Source organism: Homo sapiens, chromosome 8 (assembly GCF_000001405.40).
Source record: "Homo sapiens chromosome 8, GRCh38.p14 Primary Assembly".
Taxonomy (NCBI): Eukaryota; Metazoa; Chordata; class Mammalia; order Primates; family Hominidae; genus Homo; species Homo sapiens.
The window spans coordinates 116,595,751-116,616,916 of NC_000008.11; the positions used below are offsets into that span (position 1 = coordinate 116,595,751).

The following is a 21,166-nucleotide window of genomic DNA, read 5'->3' on the forward strand; positions in this document are numbered from 1 at the left end:
AGTCTTTTTCTTATTGTATTAACTTCCCTCAACCAATGATTTCTTAATCTGACTTAGAAGGACAGACATGCCGATCAAAGGACTTGATAGGGAAATGAAGGCATATGGGATTGGCTTCCGCTTGGTCTCCCAACCAGGAGCTGAGCTAGCTGCAGCAGAGAACTGCTGCAACCACTGAAGACAGAGAACATGGATCAGACAGTGCCTGAGGTAAAATGTTGAGGTTTCAATGTCTGGATTTAGGATGCCATGTGTAAATTCTAGTCCTAAAGAGCAGCACAATGATGAAATTCCACAGTCCCCTCCAAAGACAGAACAAGCAGCAGGACACCTTCTGATTTTGAATGTTTTTACACATCTCCCTCTATTAAAAAAAAGTATAAAGGGCATCAGTTACTTTTTACCTTTGTTCATTTCCACATCAAAACCTTGGTACTGAAATGTAGTTTTTCAAATTTAAATCCAAAATTGTAATTTGATGCAGAGCAATTATAAATAACAGATGCTGGAAGGCTTGCATTTTTTGCCTCCACAAGAAATATACACATTGGATCCAAAGTTTTGGATATGACATCCAAACGAAGTTAGGGACTGGAAATAAGAGATTGCTAAAGTTAGGTCCATGCAGATACACTTTACAACTTTGGAAAGTATGGGGAAACATGGGGAAATTGGAAGACTACACACACAAAAACCACAATATATTTGACAGACGATCCATCTGATGGGCACATAAGACTCCAAAGTTAAGGCAGTAGAGTGTCATGGTAGAAGTATGGACCTCAGAGTTGCAACGTCATTGAACATTGCAGTACTCAATATCCAGTCCTACATCTTACATAGCTACATGATCTTGACCAGGGTAATTCACCCTCTAAAACTCAGTTTCCCCAGCTATAAAATAAGAATGAGGTCATCCAGCTGATTGAGTTGTGAAGATTATGTAGTTAAGGATTGAAGTTCATGCCTAACGGCTACTAAGAGTTCTGCCAATGACTAAACATCTCTAAGACTCTCTCAATATCTGAACCTTTTGATTTATAAGTTTCTGTCATCCATCCAATTCAGTTCCATATTCTTCAACCAACCGCTAAGTAATTATTGAGTTCTAAGTGCCCAGTAGCACTTAGAACTCAATAAAGGAGAAGAATAACACCCACAAGAAGCTTGCAGCCTGATTAAGGAGACGACATGCGTCTATATGAAACAATTAGTGACCAATACAAAGCAGTGAAAATCAAGTAAGACTGTAACTGCCACTGAAGCTTGAGCCTGGAGGTGTCCGGGTAAACTGGGAAGGGAAGTGGCTGCAAACGGTCTGGGTGGAAGTCATCACCAGTTCAGCATTGCTCACGAGACTGTACCTGTGGACAGTGCTCAGTTGACCATAATACCCGTCTTCACAGACTGCAAAGCAGCACTAACAGAGAGTGTCCCAGGCACAGAATGTGGCAGGGTAGATTCAGCCAGTAAGGTCCCCTGGAGTTTTCTTTTGCATGTGGCCTTCGAGAGGGGTTCTGAAAGTATCCTTTCCTCAAAAGTATTCTATAGATTCTTTTCCTGGGGCAGTATCTTATGGTATCATTTGTTGCTCTATGCATGTCTCCAGGGCAATGGTGGGTCTTACAAGGGTAAAGATGCGCTTCCTTGTCTTTCATTCCTCACTCCCAGGTGTCCAGTCTCTTAGTCACTGTCACACCTTTGACAAAACAACCACATAAATATATGAATGAATGGAGTTCATATGCCCTCACATATCTTGTGTCAAAGAGTGAGACAGGTGGAAATGGGGTGAAATAGGAAGTAAAGAGGTAGAGATCAAAAATCTGCTTGTGTAAAAATGTGGACACCACTTACCAGTAGTCTATTACACTGAAACTTCAACCACACTTCATATTCCTTGCTTTCTCCATGTCTCTAGTTCCTGGAAAAAAAGTTGCAAGAAGCAAAAGAGCACTAAGCTGGAGTTTTGTTTTCAGAGGAAATGGCAGGAGGGGAGAGGGTGTTTCAGTGTCATTGCTGCATAACAAACCACCCCCAAAACTTGGTGGTTTGAAATAACAATATATTAGCTCTCATGGCTCTGTAGGTTGACAGGCTCCAGATGGGCAGTTCCAGCTTTGGGGCTCTGGTGTGGATAGAGGCAGAGTCTAGATAGGGCTGGAGTCTTCTGAAGGCTCGATGCCAGGGCTGACCCTCCGAGAGAGCTGTTTCACTCAGGTGTCTGCACCTTCCATGCTCCTTGGCATATCTCCTGGCCCCTCTCAAATGGCATCTCATCCTCCAGAGCCTTCTCACGTGGCTTGTGCCTCTCAGAACACAGATGTCCCAGTGGAGTCTCGCTTCCTCCATGGCCACTGACCTCTCAGTGGCTAAAAGCGGAGGCTGCCAGGCTAGGTCAGGGATATGCCTGAAAGTGTCAGTGCCACATCTGCCGTATTCTATTGGTCAGAGCTATAATGGGACCCAAGTGAGTAGAGAAACGGACTCTGCCTTCTGATGAGGGAGTGGCAAGTTCACATTTGAGAAGAGTGTGCAGGATGAAGATATTGCTGCAGCCAAGTTTGGAAAATACAATTTGCCAGTTTGTTGTCATTGTCATCGCTGAGGCTGTTGTTGTTCTAAAGAATCCCTGCTTGGCCAAAGTAATGCAGAAAACTCCTCAGTCCCTAAATCCCACTTCCATCGTGTTTGATGACTAAATGGCAGCAAGACTAAGATATTCCTTGAGACTAAGCTTCTCCCATGGGCCCTCAGTGCTTCTCACCAGAGCCCTGCATTAGCCGATGGAGCTCCTCAGTGTAAGCTACACAACGATGCCCTTTCCTCCAAGTAGAGGCACGACCTGGAAGAGCAGCACCAGCTGCCTCCGCCAGCGGCCTCCTGCAGGGCACACCTGCGTGGACCATGGCCTTCCGCCTAGCCTAGCACTCCACACGTCAGAGGCTTACAGCGAAACACTGGTCACCAAGTGAATGAATAAGCAAGAAATTACTGTGCTTTCCTTTCAACGTGATAGCCCAATGAGTGGACAGGAGAGGGCAACAGGGGAAACTAGACCTGAAGAGAGAACCCCAAAACCACTCAACTCCCACATGGGCAGCTGAAATCCATGTCCCAAAATGTCTCCTTGAGGTGACAGTGAGGATGAGTGATAGAGCATGTGCAGTTGAACAGAACTTCATTCAGTCATAGCCAGGAAGCCAGAGCTGGTGGCAACCAGCGAATCTCGGAAATTAGAAGTAGAAAGGAAAAGTTTCCTACACCATATTTGGAGCCAAACATTTTTAAAAAGAAAAGACAAAGGAGCAGGTGATTTGTAACCTTATTGGGGTGACATGAGCAAAATATATTGTCTAAAGTATTATCTAATAACATAATTTTTCAGATAGTTACTTTTTTAGATACAAAATTCACTAGGATGAGGTTTTTTTTTTTAACTTTTATTTTAAGTTCAAGAGTACGAGTGCAGGTTTGTTACATAGGTAAACTTGTGTCATGGGAGTTTGTTGTACCGATTATTTCATCACCCAGGCATTAAGCCTAGTACCCATTAGTTACTTTTCCTGATCCTCTCCCTCCTCCCACCCTCCACCTTCCAAAAGGCCCCAGTGAGCATTGTTGCCCTCTATATGTCCATGTGGTTCTCATCATTTAGCTCCCACTTATAAGTGAGAACATGCAGTATTTGGTTTTCTGTTCCTGTATTACTTTGCTAAGGATAATGGCCTCTAGCTTCATCCGTGTTCTTGCAAAGGACATAATCTTGTTCTTTTTTATGGCTATACAGTATTCCAATGTATATGTACCACATTTTCTTTAACCAGTCTATCACTGATAGGCATTTAGATTGATTTCATGTCTTTGCTATTTTGCATGGTGCTGCAGTGAACATATGTGTTCATGTGTCTTTGTAATAGAATGATTTATATTCCTTTGGGCATATACCTAGTAATGGGACTGCTGGGTTGAATGGTATTTCTGTCTTTAGGTCTTTGAGGAATCTCTGCACTGTCTTCCACAATGGCTGAACTCATTTACCCTCCCACCAACAGTGTATAAGCGTTCCTTTTTCTCCACAACCTCACCAGCATCTGTTATTTTTTGACTTTTTAATAATAGCCATTCTGACTGGTGTGAGATGGTATCTCACTGTGGTTTTGATTTACAATTCTCTAATCATCAGTGATGTTGAGCTTTTTTTTGATATGATTGTTGGCTGCATGTATGTCTTCTTTTGAAAAGTTACTGTTTGTGTAGGGTGAGTTTAAAACCCTGCCCTTTGCAGCTGTAAATCACCATTGGTGAGTGTTTGGCTTATCCATTGTCTTATTAAATCAGACCTTTCCACCCTTTCCAAGCTTCAGCTATCAATTTATCATTAAACTCTGACAGAGTGTTTGCTCTGTCTCCGTAGTGGCTCAGAATACCAACAGCTGAAAGTAGAAATTTTTTGAAGCTATGTGTCTTTATTTTTTTATTATTATTTTTTATTTTTTTATTATACTTTAAGTTTTAGGGTACATGTGCATAACGTGCAGGTTAGTTACATATGTTTACATGTACCAAGTTGGTGTGCTGCACCCAGCAACTCGTCTTTTAACATTAGGTATATCTCCAAATGCTATCCCTCCCCCGTCCCCCTACCCCACAACAGGCCCCGGTGTGTGATGTTCCCCTTCCTGTGTCCATGTGTTCTCATTGTTCAATTCCCACCTATGAGTGAGAACACGCGGTGTTTGGTTTTCTGTCCTTGTGATAGTTTGCTGAGAATGATGGTTTCCAGCTTCATCCATGTCCCTACAAAGGACATGAACTCATCATTTTTTATGGCTTCATAGTATTCCATGGTATATATGTGCCACATTTTCTTAATCCAGTCTATCATTGTTGGACATTTGGGTTGGTTCCAAGTCTTTGCTATTGTGAATAGTGCCGCAATAAACATACATGTGCATGTGTCTTTACTGCAGCATGATTTATAATCATTTGGGTATATACCCAGTAATGGGATTGCTGGGTCAAATGGTATTTCTAGTTCTAGATCCCTGAGGAATCGCCACACTGACTTCCACAATGGTTAAACTAGTTTACAGTCCCACTAAAAGTGTCTTTAAAATTACTTTTTATATAAACAGAACATTTAATTTATTTCTATAAATTTCTCCTATTCCAGTTATCAGAAACTTGAACGACTGTTCCCTCAAAGTGCCACAGCAGCCTCTATTGAAGCTCCTCCAGAGCCAACATGGTCTCCAGCCCCCAACTAGGAATAACTCAAGCATAAAAATGTGCTTTCCATAGAATCCAGAGTATCGGTTTGCATCAGGTGAAGCAAAACCAGAATCCCCAAAGCCTCGTGGATTTGGAAATCTACCAAATTGCTTCACTCTTACCCACCCGGGACTTCTGGGTATGTAAAACTGCAAATATTTTACTTTATAGTTTATATAGGGTGTTTTATAGAGCAGAGAAATCAGAACACCCTTTACATGACACTGTAAACCCACCATGCTCTAATATCACTCAGCTGTGTTCCTCTCTTTATTCCCCTTATCAGGGATTAAAGGCAGCTCCTACACACATGAAAGCTTTTGACATTCCTCACTGAAGATCCTGGAGAACACTGGGTCATGAGAGCGAGTCTGTGGAAGTGAAAAAACCAGTATGAGAGCCCTCCCTTTCCTAAACTTGTAAACTGCAGCTTAAGAAGTTCACATCGAAGTTAGTGCTGGAGCCTCCCATCCTCAGAACACAGCATCGTTGTTAGATGAATAGGAGCTCTGGCTGAAATTCAGCAGACACCAGGCCAGCTCTTTATGGGCTTTGTATCCCATTCATTCTCACAACCACCTACATGGTGGGCATTAGCAGTAATAATGTCAACAATAATAGCAAATAGGCATGCAATGCTCACTATGTGACAGCCACCATTCTGAGTGCTTCCTGTGTATCAACTCACATAATCCTCACAAAAACTCCATGAGATATGTATATTATTAGTGTCACCATTTGATGAGGAAACTGAGGTACAACAAGATGAAAGAACTTGCTGAAATTCTCAGAGATCGTAAGGGAGGGAAATTGACTCAGAAGCCAAGCACTCTTAACTATTCTACCCATCTACAGATGAGGAAACTGAGGCACAGAGAGGCAATGTGACCTCTAGGTTCATAAACCTAGTAAGTGATCAGATGGGATTTCACGTCAAGCATGCCTGGCTCCAGAGACTGTGCACACTTGGTTGTTACTGAGACATGGACAGAGCAACCCAAGTGCCTTTTGGCTTGAAAGTGACTTACCAGGTTTTTCTCCCTGGCACAGCTGCTGCTGTTTGCTTCAGTTCCACTTCCCTCAGCACTACCAAGCACAGTACCATGAAAGAATAGTTAAGCATGGGTGAAATGGAGTTGCCTGTATCATATGGTTTTAAGAGCATCCAAGAATATGTATGTCCCTTCCTATATTTAGGGAGTTCATCCCTCAATTCACACATTTGTCTCTTGCAGATGTAAAACACTATGTTGCATCGGTAATCCATATCTCAAACACCTTTACCAGACTTTTCGTCAGAGAGGGAAGATAAAATAAGGCTTTTAAAAAAGGAGGAGGAGGAAAAGCAGAAAGTAGCCTCAGATCTACTGGGCATCCCAGTCTGAGCCTAAGCTGTATCCACCTCTGGGACTCAAATACCTCTAAACAGCTTTAATGAGCTGGTGGGCTGGGCTGCCAGCAGGACATTTGCATAAGGGACTGAGAAGCCTCCTGGGAAAGCTCTCACCTTAAGGGAAAGAGGGTCAGCAGACCAGCTTGGCCCAGTGACAAAACCTCAGTAGCAGGGAAACAGATGCACTTCTGAGTGTAGTACTTGATTCTGTCACTCACTATTTGTCTCCAGTTTGTATCTCAGTAGAGGTGGGTTGTAAGGTGAAATCCAGAACAGAGCATGTGGTGGCAGTCTCCAGGTCACTGGAGAGACAGCCCAGGCCGGCAGTATTAGTGGTATTGAGATAAATTGGCGAAAGTGATGGTGTCTGGTGATGCAGTAGCTCCCAGAAGATGTCCTAGCCCTGTGTCCTGCGGAAGCAAACACCCAACACAGGGAACTGGCATGCAGAAGGATAAAAAGAACCAACCAAACTCATTCACGGGGTGAGTTCCACGTTGCCAAGCCCGTGAGAATAGGCCCAAGTGCCATAGTCTGTTGGCCAAAACTTGAACACCGTGAAGAAGACAAAGAAATGTACCCCAGGAAATTCTTTCTTATCTTGTTACATCCCATCTCTTTTTTGAGGATCAGGACTGATTTCAGTCTTTCAAGTATGTATTCATTCATTCAACAAGTATTTATTGAACAACTATTGCATGTCCTGCATAGGCAAAGAGGATACAGCTATTCACAAGAAAGCTCTTCCCCCACACCCATCCCAGAAGGCTCCCTCTTGCTCCTTGTCTCTCTGCCAGATCAGCTTTCCTTCAGCAGTTTCCATCACTGGCTCTTTCCCTTAGCTTCAACTTTCCCTTCACATGCCACCCCCGCTGCTTAAAACACTTTATCCAACCTTCATATGATTGGCTTCTCTTTGTCCTTGGTCTCAAATAAAAGTCACCTCCCAGAAGAGGCCTTCCTGGCCACCCTATTCAATGGGTCCCCTGTTACTCTCTCTACATCATATATTACAGTTTTGTAAGTAGATGCCTATTTGTGTGTGTTTCACTATTTGTTCGTCCTCTGCATTAGAAGCTTCCCATCATCCCTAGTTTCAACTTAGTGTCTGGCACACAGTAGGAACTTGATAAGTACTTGTAGCATAAATATTTTGAATGAACTTAATTTTATAGAGGAAAACCCAAAGTCAGATGGTAGTAACTGATTGAACAGAGGATGCAGACACAGGCATGCAGTTGGCATGTTAAGAGGAGCTTCCACCTTAAAATACCACCTCCAAGACTTCGTCGTTGGGTTATGAGACCCAGAAACAATATTCGGAATCATGTGACTCTTGTTAAAATAGAGGTTTGTCCAAAGTGCTGTGGAAACACAGAAGACAGCCTGATTAATTTGGCTAAGGAATAAGGAAAAGCTTCCAAAGAGATGACCCCTGAACTGAGCATTGAAGGAAGAGGTGGACTAGGGGTGTGGAGGCACGTGGAGCAGGTCGTTTGTCCCAGAGGTGTGAAATGGCACGTGGAGTTCTCAGTCTTATCCCCGTCAGCAAGGGTTGCTTATTTTGGCCAGCTGCACAAAGACTCTTCATTTATTTATTCAATAAGAGTCGAACAACACTGACCAAAACAGCAGAAAAACCAGACGTGGTCCCTGCCCTCTGAGGGGAAATAGACAAATGAGGAAGGTTGGTCCAGAAGGCTCATGGCCAAAGGATCGAAAACATAAGCAGAGGCTGCATCACAGAGGTCCACACTGAGGAAAGTCAAGGTGCCCCCGTTTACAGACTGCCAACAGCCAGACGTGCGCATGAGGCTGACTGACGGCTACTATCCTGCCTGCCTGCTAGCCACACACACACTTAAAAGAGACCAGCAAAGATCACCTTCCCTTGCCTAAACCAGAGGGACCTCCCAGACAACCCATGGACCCCTCAGCTATATAAAAGATTTGTTGTTTTAAGCCAGTAAGTCTGGGGGATGGTTTGTTGCTAGCTAGGCAAAAGCTAAATGATCAGTGTATGATGTCACAGTGCTAGGCACTACTGGGGTGGCACCAAAAAACTAAGACCCTAACCTCCTTCATGAGATGATATGGAAACAGTTGTATGTAAGAAAATATGAGATACAATGGATCAAAATGAGTTCTCCAGAGAGGCACCAAAATTTACTATGGGAGCATGGAGGACAATGAGATGATCTCTGCCTGGGGATGGGGGCACATTGATGGAAGTGAGCAGGCGATCTGAGTGCAGAGGCACAGAAGTCATCAGGCGGAGGCTGGGAAGCAGGGCTCTCCCAGGTAGTAAGAACATCCTGCTTAAAAGCCCAGAAAGTAGGACAACAGTAAGTCATCTAGGATGCTCAACTGAAATATTTCTTGCTTCTTGCCCCAACCTCTCCCCATACTAATCCGCTCTCCCCAGTAAACTCCTTCAGGAGGTTGGAGCTTATACTTCACTTCCTCCAGAAGCCTCTTGCTATGGACTAAGTTGTGTTCCCCCAGATTCATATGTTGAGCTCAAAGCCCCATGTCATGTTATTTGGAGATGGGGCCTTTGGGAGATAATTAGGGTTGGATATGGCCTTTATGATAGGATTAGTGACCTTATAAGAAGAGACACCAGAGCTCTCATGCACTCTGTCTCTCTGAGAGGGCACGATGAGAAGGCACCACCTACAAGCCAGGAATAGAGTCCTCACCAAGAACAGAATCAGCTGGCACCTTGATCTCAGACTTCTAGCCTCCAGAACTGTGAGAAAATAAATGTCTGTTGTTTAAGCCACCCGGTCTGTAGTATTTGTGATGGCAGCCCCAGCAGACATGCTCACCTCCACATTGGTATCAGGCACCCTTCTCTTATTTCCTCTCCAGAAGCACTTCCCAGATTGTTCATGATTGGCTCTCTTTTTGTCTGTATCTTCCACCAGGCTGTGACCTCTGTGAGGGCAGGGAACTTGTCTAACTTTTCAGCTTTTTAAAATCTCCAGTGCTTAGCCCAGTGGCATATAGTCAGTGCTCAATAAATGTTTATTGAATAAGTGCTCCAAATTTGTCATTCCATATGACATCTCAAAGAATACATGAAAATAGCTAACTCTAACTTGGCTACAGAAATAATTCACATCCTTTTGCAAACTTTGCTATTTCTCTATCATTTCAATTAAAAGAATTGATTTGGAGGACATTTTCTAATTTACTGTTTATAAACACAATATAGAGCTTGCAAACTAAACCAACTTCCTGATAGAATATTTTGTCTGATGATCCAGAACAACCTGATCTCTCGAACCTCCAAGTGGCTTTCCATATCCTTTATAAGGACTCTCCATTCATTTGTGTAGACTTTTTTTTTTTTGAGGCAGAGTTTCACTCTTGTCCCCCAGGCTAGAGTGCAGTGACATGCTCTCAGCTCACTGCAACCTCCGCCTCCCGGGTTCAAGCAATTCTGCCTCAGCCTCCCGAGTAGCTGGGGATTACAGGTACCCACCACCATGCCCAGCTAATTTTTGTATTTTTAGTAGAGACGGGGTTTCACCATGTTGGCCAGGCTGGTCTCGAACTCCTGACCTCAGATGATCCACCCACCTTGGCCTCCCAAAGTGCTGGTATTACAGGCGTGAGCCAACGTGCTTGGCCTTGTGTAGACAATTTTTACAGAATCTCCACAGAGTTCTGGAATATTCACTAACATTTACATCATCCTTCTTGGTCTCCCATTTTTTTAACTGATGAAGAAACTGAGGCCCAGCAAGCCTAAATGACCTGCCCAAGGTCATCAGCCACCAAGAAAAAAAGGCTAAAACATGGGTCTGCTATGGATGAGAACAGACTTTGCTGGAAGGAAAAAAATGGAAAATATACAGAATTCAGAAATGTCCTGGTCTGTAATATAGAACGTGTATTTCTTCCTATTAAGATGGCACACAAGTATAAATATTTTAAAGGCTTTATATAGGAAGGAAGAAAGGGTGGCGAAAGTCCGGTGTTTATTACCAGAAGCACTCCATCCACATTTAGGTTTGTCAATGTCCATTAAGGATGTCAATGTCCATTCTCTTGCCTTTTACGGATGTCAGCACATGACACTTCTGGCTGGACCAAGATGTCAGCAAAGTTCACGTGTTGAGTTAATCACTATATAGGTTTCCTTGCAAGGTAAACTGCCAATTTCACTTATAATTTGGATTCCAAGGAGACTTGTTCCATGATTTCTGATCTATGGGATTAACTTGAGGGCAAAGTTATATAGTTATATTCATAGGTGCCATCTTGATTGAGGAGAAAGTGGAGGCGAGATAAGGAAAGGCAGAAATTCCTCCTTTTTGATCTGTCACACACACCATACTGATCCTTTGTTTCTGTACTTGTTTAAGGTCAGTAACTGAATTAGCCAAATATTCAGAAGAAGGCAGCATGCCCCAAATGTCTCCAGTCACAATTAAGCTACTGGCTTTCCTTCTGCATGGAACTGGGTTCGTTGCCAAACATTCCTGTCAAGTGAGGTGAGGAGGATTTCTCTCAGTCAAATGCCTCACTCTCTTCCCCAGCTACCTGTCTTGTTTCTTTCTTTTCACAGTAAGTCCCAGGGAGTAGCTCTCTTGTGTGAAAATTCAGTCTTAAGACACTCCTCCATTGTACAATTCAGCCAACAGGAATACTTAAGAAGTGTGGGCTAGATTACCTAATTATGGTCATGTTTGAGAAGCAAAGCATAGAGATGACCAATAACAATGTGGAACAAGATGAAACTAAATAGTTGAGTAAAATAATGCATTCCAAGCACCAGCACGTAGCCTGGCACGTTTTCAACACACCTGTCCGAATTCTAAATGTAGCACACTCAGCTCTGTTTCTGCATCGCTTCTTAGTCTCCACCATCTCTTTCTTGGTGATCTCATTCAGGCTGCTGGGCTCAAAATGGCCTCAAAGTCTTTATGACTCCCAAATTTACTCTTAGCCCTGACCTCCCACTCTGAGCTAGAGTCATTTATCCCACTGACTACCTGACATCTCCACTTGTGTCTCTTGCAGGCAGCTACAAATTCAGCGTTTCCAATGGAAAACTCATGATTTCCTGCTCTGCTTCCAAGATCTGTCCCTCTTCCATCTCAGTAAAAGAAACCATCATGAATCCAAAAACCTAGGAGTCATCCTAAATCATTGCCTTTTGCTCAATCCCTCCCTCCCCCTACCTTTCCATATACACATCCAATCTGTCACCTAGACCCATAAGCACATTCTCCAAAGGATGTCATGAGCTGGATAATTTATATCCATCTCTCTGGTCACTCTCCTAATCCGACCACCATTATCTTTCCCTGGACTACTAGAAGCAAGCTGAATGTGTCTCCCTACTGCCACTCCTGTTTTCCCATGATCCATTCTGCACAAAGCAGCCAGCCAGGGTCATATTTGTGTGGCAGGGGAGAGACGGGGGGAGAGACAAGGGGAAGATGCAGAGTCTCACTATGTTACCCAGGCTGGTTTCAAACTCTTAGCCTCAGGCAGTCCTTCCACCTCAGCCTCCCAAAGTGCTGGGATTATAGGCATGAGCCACTGTGCCCAGCCATGGTCATATTTTAAAACAAACTCAGATAATCTCTGTCTCCAGTGTGAATAAATCTCAGTGGCTTCCCATTGCACTTAAAATAAAATCCAAACTCCTTGTTCTTCCCCTCCATCATCTAAGGTCATCATCAACCAGCCATGGGCTTCTCTCTCTCCATCATGCACCTCCTTTCTCACTAGCTGAAGCCACATTGGTCTCCTTTCGGTTCTTCAAACACCTCAAGCTCTTTCCAGCTTGCAGCTTTTTGTACTTGCTATTCCCTCTGCCTGGAATACTGATACCAAAGCTCTCCAGCGCCTCAAGTAACTGATTCTTTTGAAGACTTCAGGTTTTGACTTAAATTCTACCTGCCTTCCCTGGCCTTCTCTGGCCACTTGTTCATAAGGACATCCCGATTTACCCTCAATTACCTCATTACACTCATTTCCTTCCCAGAACTTCATCACAATCTGCTATGATGTGGGCTGTGTATCGACCTGCTGGTTTAGTGTCTCTCTTGCCCAGTAGAATGTAACCCCATGACAGCAGGGCCATATCTGTCTTCTTCATCATGCTATCCTCAGTGTCTAGAACACTGCCTAGAGTATAGTAGAGGCTCAATAAGTAATTGTTAAATAAATGTATAAATTATAAATTTCTCAACGACTATAACTTTATTATTAAAATGAAATAAGTGCAAAATAGAAATGTAAATAACTCTGGGAGTGGTAGAGTAAAATGTGAGGGTATAGAGGGCCCCAAACTGCCTATCTTTGTTTGGTTACCACATGCAATATACACATGCAACATCAAAAGCTCTCATCCACCAGAATCCATGAAGAAGGAACTAGTTATAAGCAGAGATGGGCTAGGAGACATACTTGAGAGGAATTGAGCTTGATTGTGAGCCTGCCAGTAGTGGATTATTTGAGGGACTCGATGTTGATCAAGTTAGGGAAGAGGTGTGTTAGTTTCTTATTGCTACTGTAACAAATTACTGCAACCTTTAATAGCTTAAAATAGCACAAACTCACAGCTACAATCCCAGCACTTTGGAAGAATTAGGTGGGTGGATCACCTGAGGGCAGGAGTTCGAGAACAGGCTGGCCAACATGGCGAAACCCCATCTCTACCAAAAATACAAAAATTAGCTGGGCATGGTGGCTGGTGCCTGTAATCCCAGCTACACAGGAGGCTGAGGTAGGAGAATCGCTTGAACCTGGGAGGCGTAGGTTGCTGTGAGCCGAGATTGCGCCATTGCACTCCAGCCTGGGCAAGAGAGCGAGAGCGAGACTCCATCTCAAAAAAAAAAAAAGAAGTCTGGAAATGGGTTTTATGGGCTAAAATCAAGATGGCAGCAAGGCTGCGTTTTTTTGGGAGACTCCGGGGGAGAAATCATTTCTTGCCTTTTCCAGCTTCTAGAGGCAGCTTGTATTTCTTGCCTCTTGGCCTATTTCTCCATCTTCAAAGCACATCACTCAGATCCCTGTTTCCATGGTCCCATCCCTTCTCTGACTTTGACCCTCTTGCCTTCCTTTTACAAGAATCTTGGGACTCCCTGGGCCTGTAGAATCCGAGAAAATCTCCCCATCTCAAGACCCTATAGAACACATGCAAAGGCTTTTTTGCAATGTAATGTTACCTCTTCACACTGTCAAAAACTTACTGAGGATTGTAAAGAACTATTGTTTATATAAGTTATATCCATTGGTTCATCACCGTTTTAGAAATTTAAACTGAGAAATTAAAAAAGTATTTTATCTATTTTAAACTAATAGCAATAGACCAATTACATGTTAAATTTTAACATATATTTTACGAAAACCAGCTATATTTTCCAAAAGAAAACATTACTAAAAAGAGCAGTTTTGTTTTATATTTTTGTAAATCTCTTAAATGTTTGGCCAAATAACAGACAGCTAGATTCTCAGATCTGCTTCTGCGTTTAATTTGTTGCGATATCACACTTGGAAAACTCCACTGTAAACCCAGAAGAGAATGAGAAGGAGACCTCGTGAACCCCCTGAGAAAACCTCAGGGACCCCTAATGGTCCGAGGACCACACTACCTCCTGTCATTTCCTGCACACACAAGGCTGTTTTTCTAAAGGCTGTGAGTCTCCTTCCCATCCCATCCTTCACTGGTGAACTTCTGCTTTTCCTTTAAGACTCAGATGTGGCTTATTCCAGAAAGTCTCTCCTGAGCCCTGCAGTCTGACTCAGGTGCTCTTCCTCAAGTTTATGGCAGCATATTCTCTTTCTTGATGGCTCTTGCACTCTCTCTGCTCACGTTGCTCTGCACACTGAATTTACTTCTCTGCTTAGGCCTCCATCAACCCAGCACATTGTGAACTACCTGAGGATAAAAACCACGTCCTAGTCATCTCTATGGCCCCGCAGATGTGGTGTGCTATAAATGTTGACTGAATATAAAGTAAATGAATCCTTCCTACTGGCAATATGAACACCAGCATGAGGGAACAGAACACAGGGACTTAGGTGGGCAGGTCCTGCTGTTACAGGATTTGCTTCTTCCCATCTGGCCCAGTCCCAAGCAAAGGCCTTTATCATTTCCACTGGGTGGCCATGCTCAGCGTACATGATTTCTGGTTCTGGAGAATGCTGGATAGCTGCTGAGCAGAAGAAATGCCCACAGCCTCCTGAGAGTCATGGGTCTCCCCATTCTGTCAGGTGTTCTGCAGTACTTTGTGGATGCCATGCGAGGATCAGATGGCACAGGACACAACACATGTTTATATTTCCCATCTACCTTGCATCCTGGCTTAAAGGAGCAAGTAGAGAAACATATGGAAATCCAATGATGAAAAGTGTTAAAGTAAAACATTATTCAATGATTCTTGTTAAAGCACAGTAAGGTAGACTTTATTCAGGACCATTGCAATAGGTATTGGAACCAATACAACAGGATTCTGCAGCGGGAGAGAGAGATTGGGCTCAACTCTGAATACAGCATGGGCAAGTGGAAGTTTATAGCCAAAGAGCACCCAGTTTTTCAGTAGGTGGAAAATTACTGAGATAACACTGCGGTAAGAAAGATTCTGGCTAAACTGACCTACCAGAATTCTTTCTGAAGACAGGCCAAGGTGATCCTTCATTACCTGTGGGATGGTGGAGGATGAAAAATCTGATCAGATATCAAGAGTGAGCAGATATCAAAAGGATGAATGTTCTTGCTAAACTGATTTAGCAGAGTTCTTGCTAAACTGATTTAGCAGAGTTCTTGCTAAAATTAGATTTTATAAGGAAGTGCACAGATGGACCTAGCAGAAGCTCAGGAGCCTGACTAAAGTGTGGTCAAGCAAATAATCTTTGTCAAAAGTTAGCCACATGCTTGCAGTTGGAATTTGCATAAGGTCTTAATACAATTTCTAGAAAATGTCGGTGAGTTTAACCAGCAATTATGTTGACTTGCACCCAAACAAATGTGGAAAAGACAGGTAATGCACAATTGCTTTCATTTCATGGTTCACATTTGGGTCCATGTCTATCAGATTCGATGAGTGGACTTCTCCCCCATCAAAGGGCACCTTGATTGCTTCAACTGCATGGCTCAAAATCCACTGTAAGTCCCAAGAAATGGAAGATTCAGCCATGTCAGGCCTCACACAAAAAGGTAGCCTAAGTAAACATTCATAACTAAGAAACTCCTCATATACCTGTCTGCCTACTAGTCTATCAAAACACTAAATTAGATGCATACAATTATAAAATATATTCCAGGGCATAAAAGGGTTGGCAGAGGATCAATGTCAGGTGTGGCAACTACCAAAAATGCAACCCCTAACTGGGAAGTGTGATTGACCAAGGGACCCAACTCTGAAATCCACTGCTGCATTTGTGTAGAGACCATGCTTCTCACGGGCTGTTCTGGTATCAGGAATACCACGGCCAATCTATTTCTTGGCAACACCGAACTCCTGTGATAGCCAACTGTGGTTCAGAGACTCACCAGCAGCCGTAATGGGCCTTCCTTAGGCTGCACAACTACGTAGGATGCTTCTACCTGACTTTCCTCCCCTCTCTCCTTCACCTGTGGGCAAACTTGTTTCATCGTCTGCCAACTGCCCCAAGATGTTCCATCTCCCTCTCCATTTTTTCTAACACAGGCCTTTCCCCTAAGAAAATTCTCGCACACTTAATCCTGTCTCGGCATCTGCTTCTTGGGAAATCTGGACTAATACACCAGGCAGGATCAGGTACCATGTTTGGGAAAGAAAAACAAACTGGAAAATTGTCACAGCTTCATCCCTTTCTAGTTGTGTCAAGCTACTTCTAAAAACCTCATTTCCTCATCTGCCAAATGAATTAGCTGGATTAGGTATCTCTAAAGTCTCTTCTAGCTTCGACCTCTTGGATTCTGTAGCTCCCATTCTGTCATTTATGACCACAGGTTACCAGCATCCTAGGAGACAGTGTCTCTCAGCACAATTGGCTTATTCTACTTACGGAGTCTCAGGTGAGGAGTTACATTTCCATACACTGCTCTTGGACAAGAGAAAGCTGTGAGGTAGCCAAAAACTGAGCAAGTAGAGTAAGGGCATCCCTGGCTAGGCCCCCACAGAGAACTGAGTGAGTGGAACACATCTTTTATAGTCCAAGTTGCAGTATTAGAGCCTCAAGGCCAAGAGCTCACCTTGAAACCAGAGCCAAGGTATGCTAGCAAGCTTGAAGACGTCCTGCCACGTCAGAAGGAGATAGTGTCCCCTCTTCTAAGCCCCCTCAACTCTGTGTCAGACCTTTCTCCAGGCACTTAGCACATGGACCTAACAAGCACCTTGGAGTCTGACACATGAAAGTTCTAATCACTGGTGAGCCATTGAGAATTACGTCAGTTAAGATTAGGTATGGCCACCTGTGAAGGAAACTCAAATTAACAATGGCTTAAAGACACTCAATTTTATTCTCTCATGAAAGAAAGAAGTCCAGAGGTAGACAGTTCAGAGCTGAGACAGTGGTTCCACAAAGTCAACAAGGACCTAGATTCCATTCACCTTTCCACTCCACTATCTTTTGATTCAAGATGACTGCTAGAGCTCCAGCCATCACATCCATGTTCCAAACAACAGGATAGAGGACAGAAGAAGGGACCTCCTTTCTTCCTTTAAACACATTTCCTACATTTTTCACCAACACTTCCACTTTATCTTATTGGCCAAAACATAGTCAGGTAGCTTTACCCATCTACAAGGAAGGCTGGAGAATGTAGTCTGTTAGCTGATGGCAATCTGCTCAGCCGAAAATCGGGGTCCTTATGGTCAAGAAAGAAGGGGAGCTGAATATGAGGAGGTAACTAGTTGTTTCCATCAGAGACTAACGGGAAAAACAAACCTGGCAGGGAGTGAAGACAGAGGGCTCACACAGAAGGGGAATGAATCAGGCATGGAGAAGATGGGTCTCTCACCATCCGTGGGGTCATAGTGTGCATATGCCTCAAATTTTTATCATAACCAAAAATAAAAACAAAAAATTGGCAATATTTAACCCTATCTAAGAATAAATACACACATGACTTATATTGTACCACCTGTGTAGCTAACTCAAGTCCCATATTATTTTTTGCTGTTATGATTCAGACACTTTTGTGTGTGTGTGTGTGTGTGTGTGTGTGTGTGAGACAGAGTCTCGCTCTGTCACTCAGGCTGGAGTGCAGTGCACGATCTCGGCTCACTGCAACCTCCGCCTCCCTGGTTCAAGCAATTCTTGTGCCTCAGCCTCCAGAGTAGCTGGGATTACAGGTGCCTGCCACCACGCCCTGCTGATTTTTGTATTTTTAGTAGAGATGGGGTTTCACCATGTTGGCCAGGCTGATGATTCAGACACATTTTTTAAATGCTTTCTCTGAGAGTCAAGATTTAAAGTTGTGGCACGAATTGGGATAGATCTATGTTTTTAAAAGTAGCCCATGCCTCCCTACCACTTTCGCCAGGAAGTATGATGCTGTTGGCACTCAGATTCTCTGGTGCTCATGTTTTTCACCTGCCAAATGAAGACAGTAATGCCTACCAAGACAGGCGATCATCAGAATGAAAAGTAAAGCCTGAAAAGCATCCAGTCTAGAGTCTGGTTCATGATAAATGCTCAATAAAGTCTATGGTTATTTGTGGTCTCCACTGCTAGCAGGTTTCCAGAGAAGAAGAATCTGTCTTCTTCCTTTTTGCATCTCCTCCTTTTTTTAAAATTGATTGAATTATGGGATTTCAAAAAATGGTTTTGTGATTAAAAAGCCTAGTTGTTTTCTATTTAACATTTGTAATGCTATATGCAGAAATAAATTATTTTAACAAAATTCAAACAGGTATGAAAACAGAGACTATCAGAATAGTTATTTGTGTGTTCACTTATTCAACATTTATTTGAGGACCAAGCACTGAAGACACGAAAATGAAAATCACATAGTTCTGTATTCAAGATAATTAATGTAAGAGGAGGACAGAACAAATTATAAGATGCAATAAGAACTACAGTGAAGATGTGTAGTTACTGATGCCGGCAGGAGGGGCCAGCTATGCCCAGGAGAATCAGAGCTTTACAGACGATGTGAAATTTGAGTTGGTGTTTTGAGGGATGAATAGGAGTTTACTAGATGGAGGGAAAGATTAGTTACTAATTTTAAATATTATACCTAGAAATCATGAATAAGCAGGAGGAAAAGTTTGGTTAATGTGTGAATCAGCAGATGAAGAGAAATAAATCTTATAATAAAGAGATATTTAGATTTAGAACAGTACGGACATCAGAATTATGGCCTCTCTCTCTCTCTCTCTCTCTCTCTCTCTCTCTCTCTCTCTCTCTATATATATATATATATATATAAAAATATATATACACATACATACACACACACACACACATACACATATATATATATATCTCCAAAGCCAGGTTAGTGATGCTGAAGGCAGTTTGCCCCTCACTAGGAAACACCATGAGGGCTGCATTATTATATGTGTGGCCTGAGCATTTGCTGGTAGAGTGAGAAGTCCCATGTCGTAAAAAGATTCACAAGTAAAACATCTTCCAATTGCAGGTATCAGAGATCCATATAGAAGCCCAGCTTCAGCAACTACCTGGTGGCAAGGAAGAAGAGTCCTCGACACAGACATCGTAGGTGAACTCCTCCAGAATGAGATCAACAGGATCAGAAATGCCCTTCCATTTCCATTAAGCCCCCCAGTTAAGAACACTGAATTGGAGTAAGGAATTAATGGGAGGAGACCTGTGAAAATTCCTATACACTGCTTGAGAAGAATGGCAGACCAACTAATTAACTCATCCAGTAATTTGTCATATTAAATTATCACAGCAACTTGTGAGAAGCGGGGAGTTTCTCTGGGAAATAGGACCCAGGTCAGTGACTTCTTACAGAGCTAAACCTCTGCAGTGTACAAAAACCTTTCCAGGGCAGCTCATGTGCAATGAATATGGTGCACTGGGGCCCAGAAACCACCCTTCTTCTAATACAGGGTTTGTCAAACTTGAAGTTACAAATACTTAGTAGATCTTAAAAGTCTATTATCACAACAAGCTTTTTAAAAACATGAAATAAAATGGAATGGGACAGAATGGAACCCAATGAATGGATGAAAGAATTAGAATAGAATAGAATAGAATAGAATAGAATAGAATAGAATAGAATAGAATAGAATAGAATAGAATAGAATAGAATAGAATAGAATAGAATAGAAAATAGAATAGAATAGAATAGAATAGAATAGAATAGAATAGAATAGAATAGAATAGAATAGAATAGAATAGAACAGGCTAGAGTGCATTACACTAGTAAAGTTAATATAGTTTTGTAAAACATCGTAAAACCATGCATACATGTGCATGCACACACACACATACACACACACAGACAATCTGGCTTTTGATTTAAATGTATGTTTATTGGTTGCTGGCAAACCCCCACTATCCTAGCCTGCCCATTACCCTAGAGTGCCTTCCCAAACTGAAAGACTGAAAAACTTAAAGAGGTATTTCCCATAATCTCTTGCAGTTAAAATGCAAATAGGATTTAGGTTGGCCAAACATAAACAGTTGCATGAGATTCAGAAAGTGTGTCGAAGGTAAAGGTCTCAACTTGGGTCTGTCCAATGCTGCTGTTGACCGGCTGGTTCACGGGGGCCCTGGGTTTTCCTGCAGTAACAGTGGCAGAGGTCCCAGTGTCCAGTTGCTGATTTCATGGTAGGGGGTCTGTGTTCTGCGAAAGTGGACCTGGCAGGTGCAGCACTCTTCTGGAGGCAATAGCTGCCGTGGCCTTCTCCCAACCCATGGATCACAGCAGGGACGTTGTATTCCTGGATGTACCATTTGCCATGTCTGCTTCCTGATTTTCCCGCTTCGGGACTGTGGCAGCAGCGGCAGCTCCCCAAGTGGGCTGATGCTGTGGCACTGTTCTGGAAGTCACTCTGGAAGACCCAGCCCACTCCTCCAGCCCTCCCAGGATTTTTTGAGTGCCTAATTCCCTTCCTGATTAAAAATTGCTAGAGTTGTTTCTGTTGGCTGCAACTAAACCCTGTCGGGTAATAGAAAAACAGATATGAGGGTCATCAAATGATGCACCCAAGTCTCCTCTCTAAATTAGAGTCGAATTAATGGCAAGGCTGGAACTGAAACCCCGTTCTTCGAACATTGAGTCCTCGGTGGGGTTTGGTGTCCCCTCAGCTGCATTTGTGAAGGAATGGAAAAAGAGGATGATATTAAACCTAAGGAAGGGGCTTAGGTTTGGGATGAAGTTTGTGCCCAAATCTTACTCCCAAGGTCCTCCTCTCCTCCAGAGTTATTGACTAAGGAAGCAGTCACAGAAGGAACAAACATCAAATAATAAGAAAAATATTCTCATTTTACAAGCAGCACAAGCCCCTGACACTCCCATGATGCAGATGATCTACATGATCTGCAGAGGTGCATGAAGTTTGGCCTTTC

The 21,166-nt window shown here is 43.0% G+C and overlaps 1 long non-coding RNA gene across 2 annotated transcripts; it reads left to right on the plus strand.

The window, feature by feature from the left end:
* The first annotated feature begins 8,768 nt into the window (after window positions 1-8,768).
* Window positions 8,769-19,367, plus strand: LOC105375712 (uncharacterized). 2 transcript variants are annotated; one of them, XR_928553.3, is made up of 3 exons: window positions 8,769-9,012; window positions 11,044-11,172; window positions 19,266-19,367. It is a non-coding gene; the product is annotated as an uncharacterized LOC105375712 (long non-coding RNA). The 2 variants fall into 2 exon arrangements; XR_928552.1 differs by lacking the exon at window positions 19,266-19,367 and adding an exon at window positions 11,702-11,803.
* Window positions 19,368-21,166: the final 1,799 nt, after the last annotated feature.